This window comes from Homo sapiens, chromosome 1 (assembly GCF_000001405.40).
Source record: "Homo sapiens chromosome 1, GRCh38.p14 Primary Assembly".
NCBI classification, from domain to species: Eukaryota; Metazoa; Chordata; class Mammalia; order Primates; family Hominidae; genus Homo; species Homo sapiens.
This window is the reverse complement of record NC_000001.11, coordinates 148706115-148713847: the sequence shown is the minus strand read 5'-3', so window position 1 is coordinate 148713847 and position 7733 is coordinate 148706115. Positions and strand designations below refer to the sequence as shown.

Here is a 7733-nt window from a genome sequence, read left to right as displayed (position 1 = left end):
TGAGCCTACTGTGTTATGGCTGGCATCAGCCTTCAGAGAGGTTTGAGCATAGGATGCCATCTAATTCCCCGCCAGCCCATTCATTCTATCCAACTAATGGGAAAACTAGAGGATTGCTGATAATAATAGCATCAGCAAAAATAGTTACCATTTATCAAGCATTTACTATGGGCCAAGTACTACGCTAAATGCTCTGCATATATTTTCTCACTTAATTCTCAAAAAATGCAATGAGGAGAATGCTATTTTATCTCTAGCTCACAGCTGAGAAAACTGACCTGCCAAAAAAGCCGCATAATGAATAAGTGATAGAGCAAAATTTTGAACGCAAGTTAATTTAAAGCCTGGGCATTCAGCCACTCTGCTGCCATTATCATACATCATCTGACTTCCTTCATGTCCCATCTCCCAACTTCTGTTTTTTATTTTCTCTTTTCCTGATTCTCCAGTTACCCACCCTAGCAGTGGAGGTGATATATATGAACTGCATGCCAAAGTGGGTGTAGACTCATAATGACAACATAATGACACCAACTGGACCATGGGAAATGGTGAAGTCAAGAGTAGTTATTTCAACTTGGCCCTTTGAAACAGAGACCCTGCCGCAAGTTATGAGGGGTTTAAGTATTTTCCTGTTTCATTTGCCCTTAGATCCCAAACACCTAGAACTGTGCCTAGCTCATAGTAGGAGCCCAAGAAATACCAGCATGGAAACCTGGAAAGCTGGGGTAAATCTGATGAAGAGCACAGGAGCCTTAGTAAATCCGGGTGATCTGAAACTGGCTCTTAGTTGAGCCAGATGATAGGATCTTAATGACAATTGTGCACCACTTCTCATTTCTTGCGACTCTTTGCAGGTTTGCTTCTTGCTGTCTTATTCCAACTAAAAAATTCTGTTTACTTTTCATGTATTTTCTCTACCTCAGAATTGTTGCTTATTCATAAATTCTGCCTTCTTATCACATGGTTCTGCTTCCTCATAGTTTTGGTTTGCTATAATCCTCCATGGCTCCACTCCATTGTATGCCATCCTTTCAGCTTCAGCTCCCATGGCTAACTGCTTCTTTCTATCCATGTTTCCCAATTCAAATCCCAGAAGGAGAGAATCTGATTGATCAAACTTACCTTTTCCACTCAAGCCCTGGTTTTTGGGAAGGCAGCCCCTAATGTCAAGGGCCAATCACTGGTCCAATCAGGAGCCATCCCTGGGCAAAGAACAACCTACCTCTGCTTCTCAAAGCAGGGGGCTGTGGGTGGGGCACTTTCATCTCAAAGAGGAAGTTGGGTGTGGCAGGCACTGTGTTGACATATCCAGTATAGGAGTGCCCTGGGAGCCCATCTCTCATTTCTGAAAGAGATAGCATTGTAGATCTGGACGTTTCATCACATATTCCCAGGAAAGCCCAGCCAAATGCAGCTGGTAAGTTGCTGAATGTGGAATTCCTCTTGGCCTTCCAACTCCTTGCACTCTTCCTTCTGGGACTACTTTGGTTTTTCAGTTTATTACCTGTTTGGAGTTGGCTTGTTTCTGGACTCTCTCTTCTGCTCAGGTGAGCAGACTTCTAACTGGAACGCCTGGCTCTTGGACAAGGTGAGTGTTTGGATCCAACTTTGGTTCTGCACCATTCTTTCAACTTGGATGACATTGCCTCACCTCTTGTATCCTTGTCCTCTCCCTTCTACTCAATCCACTCTGCTCTGGGTTATTATTTACCTGAGGGTGCCTTCCCTTCCCAGACCCACCAACATACTCCTGAGGGAAGAACATTCAAAAGCAGCTGGTGGCTTCAGTGAGATCAATTTTTAGAGGAATGATCGGGGCAGAAGCTAGATAGAAGCAAGTTGAGGAAGTGGAAATAGTGAGTGCAAGACACTTTTCTGAGAAGTTTAGATGAAAAGGAGGGGAAGAAAACAGCTATGTGTCAAGAGTTTGGTGTGTGTGTGTGTGTTTTATTTTTTTTGAAAGAATTTGCTTCTTATTATATAACACATGATTTTGTAAAACATTTTGAAAAAAACAAAAATTATAAACAATATGTTTACAATTGCCCATTAAACTACTACCTAAGTAATTACAATAGTTACCAATTTTTGAATACCTACTAAACAGAAGAATTATGCTAGGAACTTCATGAATTATTTTTCTATTTCTTGTGCAATACAATGTCCCAGATGGGTCAGAATTCAGACAGATATGGCTGTGATGCAGAATTAGACAATGTCTCTTCCCTTTAAGCAATGATTGGCATCCATTGATTTATAAGGGGGCTGAGAAGTTTGCTGGGGGCAAAATGGAAATATTTGCCTCAGTAGGGTCTTCAGCATTCATGGGCATGTCTGGAGACAGTTCCAGAGGTAGGCAGAGTGCTGGCAGGAATGGTGGGGCCCCTGGAGAGAGCACCGTTGGTTGAGGAAGGAGTTTGTAACGGTAAGACTGGGCTTTAGACCTGGAAGGTCGTGGTAAGTCTGACTGTCACAGGGAAGGGCCTAACCCAGCTTCCTTGCATGTGTCTTCCCAGAAGAAAACAAAGAAGGGCCTCTGAGTCATGGAAAGAGCCATGAAACTCTTTAATGCTCTAGGGCCTATCGCCCAGTAACTGGTAACTCAGTGTTATATTAAGGAAGAGAGCTTTTCTTTTCCCACTTTGAAAGAGGATGCTGACAGACATCACAGGGGCTATCATAGCCCTCAATTTCCCATAAAACCGGCACCACAGTGCCAGCTGTGATTGCAGAAAAAGGTTTTTATCCAAGTTGTGTTAAGGAAATAGTAGTTGATTTCAGTTAATTCAGTCATAACACTTTACCTTGAGCATTAATGCTGAAAAAGTCAACTCTCTTACTTCCTGTTTTTCAAAAGCATTATTGGCTAGGGTAACTGTGCAGGGCTCCACGCTGACACCGTTTGTGGACTTTTAGCTCACAGTGGTGCTGTCAGTGCCAGCATCTTGGTGTCTGGCTAACTATAACAATACACATGATGACAACACTGGCTTAAGAACACAGGTAAGATCTGTCCACCAATGACACCCAAATGTCTTTGTACAAAAACACCTACTCGATGAGGCCCTCCCTGACCACCTTATGTAAAACCGAGCAACCCCTCTGCCTTCCTACCCTCTGCCTACCCCGACTTTCTTTCCATAGCACTTATCATCATCTCATGTTTTGTCATTTTTGTTTCTTTTTCTTCTTTTTTAATCATCGTTTTTCCTGTCCCAAAAAGCAAATGCCAAGAAAGCAGTGTCCAGGTCTGTCTGTTTATTGTTGTGTCCCCAGAGCCCACATCAGTGACTCACACAGAGTGCTCAATATTTATTGAGTTAATCCATTTCATGAATTTCTCATAAATATTTGGGGAAGGATAAGAACTATGAAGATTTTTAATTAACATGATCACATTTGGATTTATGGCTCAGGAGAACCAAGGATATTTGCTTACATTTATACCACCCTTACAAGGTCCATACTCTAATATGGCCACTTTACAGGTGAGGAAACTGAGGATCAGAGTGAAAGCAACCTGCCTCAGCCCCCATAGATAATAACGATCAGAGCCAATATAAACTGGTGTAGTAAGTAAGAAGACAAAGTAGGTAGTATTGCTATAGGTAAAGCAAGAGCTAAGGAAAGCCTTAGTTGATATGGCAGAAATAGGAACAGAGAGAAAGGGACAGAAAAGGAAGAAACTGTGAAGCCTGATTAGAAATATGGAAGGCAGAATTCAATATACTCCTAGAAGCAGCCCATGAAAATAAAATGAAGAAAGAAGGATTGTTTTTCTAAGAGGAGGGTGGCTTCAATTTCTTTCAGAAAAGATTGGCTAACTGAAAACTAAGAAAGAAACAGACCAAATCCTTGTAGCTTCTAGCACATCTATGATAAAATTCTGTTAATTGGATTTCATACTTGGATTATAACTGCACAACACATGAGAGTAAAATGCCTTAAGACAAAAAGAGTAAAAATTGAGTCATAATATGGAGACGATACTATTCTGGCAATAGTATTCAAAGAATGGACCAGGGAGCAGTGCACAGCTTTGGGAAGCAGGGGTTGTCAACATTAGGACTCAGAGTTGTTAGTGATGAGGTTCCCAGGCAACATAAGAGACCCTTGAAAAAGGCTTTGGCTTAGGGAAAAAGAATTATAGGGGCCAGACGCGGAGGCTCACACCTGTAATCCCAGCACTTTAGGAGGCCGAGGTGGGTGGATCACCTAAGGTCAGGAGTCCAGGACCAGCCTGACCAATATGGTGAAACCCCGTCTCTACTAAAAAATACAAAAATTAGCTAGGCATGGTGGTGTGTGCCTGTAGTCCCAGCTACTCCGGAGGCTGAATGACTTGAACCCGGGAGGCAGAGGTTGCAGTGAGCTGAGATTGGGCGCCACTGCACTGCAGCCTGGGGCAACAGAGTGAGACTTCGTCTCAAAAAAAAAAAAGAATTATAGGACCCAAGTAAGAAGGTCTGGCTCCCTTGGCATTTCTCACCCCCTGGCCCATTAGCTGGTGTTGCAGACTCCACTGTGGTACTCCAAGGGGTTTTAGAGAAAGAACCAGGGCAGATGACCATCCAAATCAGAAGGGCCAGGTAGGATGGTCAGCCACACATGTGAGGGGCAGATAGGGAAACAGAAGATTAATGCATATGGGAAGCCCCAGGAAGCTAAATCCATCCCAGATCACACTGGATACTGGCTCTGTTGAGGCAGGTGGTGGGGGGTCAGCCTGGTGACAGCATATTTGTTCATTCAATCAATATTTACTGAATGCTCTTTATATTCTAGGCACTGTGCCAGACATTGGGCTAGGTGCTGGGAATTGAAATAATAAACTATTTCCTGATTTCTCTTCTCTCTTCTGGAGAAAGAATTGGATTAGAACAAGGTATGGTTCTCACTGGCACAGGGATTGGGCAAGGCCGTCTGCAAGAGGCAGACATCAGCTTGGGCAATGGGGTCAAGTTGGGGATGGCAGGCCCTGGCTGATACAATACTTATATTTTACCTGAAATCTGTGTTTATTTTCTATCTTGAACCTGGTATTGTTTATATTTGATAAGCAAATTTTATGTTTTAAGTAATTCCTAGACATACAGTTAGGACATTTTGCAGGGGAGGGCTTTTGATTTTTAATCCTAAAAGCATTAGTTTGTCTGTATTGCCGGGCTTGACAATCACATAAAATAAGTGTATTTCAAATCACTCAATAGGAGTGGCTGCAAATAGGGGAAAGAACATGATCTATTACTACTTTGGATTACTACTTTTTACTGGCAAACCATAAATCACAGTGGGGAAGCCACAGTGGAGTATAAGGAACTTAAATCATGGCAAGAGTGATTTAAGGTCAGTCAGTGCAGCAGATAATCTGGAGAGATGATCCCACTCATAACCCTTTAAGACATGACACTTGGTAAACTACCTAACTCATAAGGGTGTCCTGGCAGTGAACCTCCACACCTCCTGGTTGGGGTGTGTGCTCCATCTCACCCAGCTTAAGTAGGCCTGAAAGACCACCCTGTTCTCTCAGGCAAGAGTATTCCTCTTCATTACTGGAAGGGAATTAAAGACAAAGCTGGTCTAATCAATAACCGCAGGCCCTTGTCTCACTGAGAAGAATAAAAATGAATACGCAATTATTTGCCATTGTGGAATGTGTTTTCCCTAGTATCAATGCTGTATGTAATACTAAGATTTCTACAGCCTATTTAATATAGAATATATACATACACGCACATGCAAACACATACACACAGATATATATATATATATAGTTGCCTCTTGTATCTCTTGTATGGTATCCAGTCAAGTGTCTTTACTGTAACTGGAAATCAAAATTACATCAATAGAAAAAAATGCTACACCAGTAGAAAAGGTGGGGGGGGGGGAATAGGAGAATGAAAAAGGGGAGGAGCAAAAATGAAAATTCACTTTTAAACAAATGTAACTTTGGCTATATGGTTACAGGTATAGGTTCTGGCTGAAAAGATTTCAATGTCTGCTTTAATGTAAATTATAAGTATTCCAGAAGACAGATAATTTTATTTTACTTTTTTTTTTTTTGAGAGGGGGTCTTGCTCTGGCCCCCAGGTTGGAGTGCAGTGGTGCGATCTCGGCTCACTGCAATCTCTGCCTCCCAGGTTCAAGCAATTCTCCTGTCTCAGCCTCCCGGGTAGCTGGGACTACAGGCACCCGCCACCACGCCCGCCTAACTTTTGTATTTTTACTAGAGATGGGATTTCATCATACTGGTCAGGCTGGTCTCAAACTCCTGACCTAAGGTGATTCACCTGCCTCAGCCTCCCAAAGTGCTGGGATTATAGGTGTGACCCACTGCACCTGGGTGACAAGATAATTTTAGGAGCCACTTTAAAAAGTTTCCGGAACTGTAGTCTATTATTTCAGTCTCAGTCCCATACACCATGAAAAATTTAGGGCATTTCATTGCTACAAAGAATTTTAAAGCAGAATCAATCCATGTAATTAAATCTTAACATTTATTAAGTGCTTATTGTATATCAGGTACTTTTACTTTTCTAATCATTGTACAGTTATTAATTCATTCAAATCTTACAAAAGTCTATGAGTTATTGTTTCCATTTTACAGATGAGGAAATTGAGGCACAAATATTGCCCAAGATCTCACAGTTAGTGATTGACAGTAAGATTCACACTCAGACCATCTGACTCTGGAGGCCACACTTGTCATTCATGTTAATCTTACTTAACATGCTTCATGCTAACTACAGACTTAGTTATCTCCATATGCATCTTTCAAGTAGATGGCTTATCACAACAGCAATTAGACCTGTTTACATGTTTGGCGCTTATTTATTGAATGATTACCTACTACACACTGAAATTGGTTAAGTTTGTTTCTAAAACTGACAAGCTTTGTTTTAAAAACAATTCATCTTCTTCCGCTCTTTTTTTCACAAGAGGTAGTTGTTTGGATAGTAACCTTTTGAGAACCAAAAGAAGTGAAGGAGAGCTACTTTTGTGAGAATGAAAGGTGGAGGGTCATTCATTCAAGAACTTGTTTTTACCAGGTACCAGTTGTCAGTATGCAAAAGCAGCGAGGTATGCCAATGTAATTCATGTTCAATAAACATCATAAAATTTATTTCTATACATTAAAATCTTCCTGTGTAACAAAATGCATGTTTTATTTTTATCTGCCACTTTTCTTAAGTCAGTAGACAATTCCCTCTTCTTTCTCCCAGGCTTGATATGAGGTTAGCTTTTCACAATTGGTACTTCTGGGGGGGCAAAAAACAGGCAAAATAAGTGAATGGGAAAGCACTCAGACTTATTATTTATTAATTTGTGATATTCTAGCCTTTCAGTGACTCTTTTCATGCTATTTTTTCCAACTTCTGTGGGATGGGGAAAAAACTTATCCGGAGTGACAACATTTCTATTTTCCATTATTATTTCTTGCATAAGATATTCAAAAACAATTGTTTTGGCATCATCTCACTTCGAAGATAAAGAAAGCAATAGTAAATATCAGCCTGCATATTGGGAATTCTTCTAGAGAATATTATTTAGACTTCATGAAACAAAAGAGGAGCTAAAATTATGCTTTGTGTAAATCTCAGATAGTGGTTTTGGCTTAAAATTTGCTATCCCAGCACTTTGGGAGGCTGAGGTGGGCAGATCACGAGGTCAGGAGATCGAGCCCATCCTGGCTAACACGGTGAAATCCCGTCTCTACTAAAAGTACAAAA

At 41.1% G+C, this 7733-nt stretch overlaps 1 protein-coding gene across 4 annotated transcripts in view; it reads left to right on the top strand.

Moving 5' to 3' along the window:
• Positions 1-1309: 1309 nt before the first annotated feature.
• The window catches only part of NOTCH2NLB (notch 2 N-terminal like B), a 112254-nt gene continuing 105830 nt past the window's right edge, over positions 1310-7733 (top strand). For 2 of the 4 annotated variants that reach the window (NM_001395234.1, XM_047420582.1), the window contains exon 1: positions 1314-1591. In NM_001395234.1, the coding sequence (NP_001382163.1) occupies positions 1433-1591 (159 nt within the window). In that variant the 5' untranslated portion in view covers positions 1314-1432. Of the gene's footprint in view, positions 1592-7733 lie in introns of all 4 variants that reach the window. The other 2 variants (XM_047420744.1, XM_047420606.1) reach the window with 2 other exon arrangements.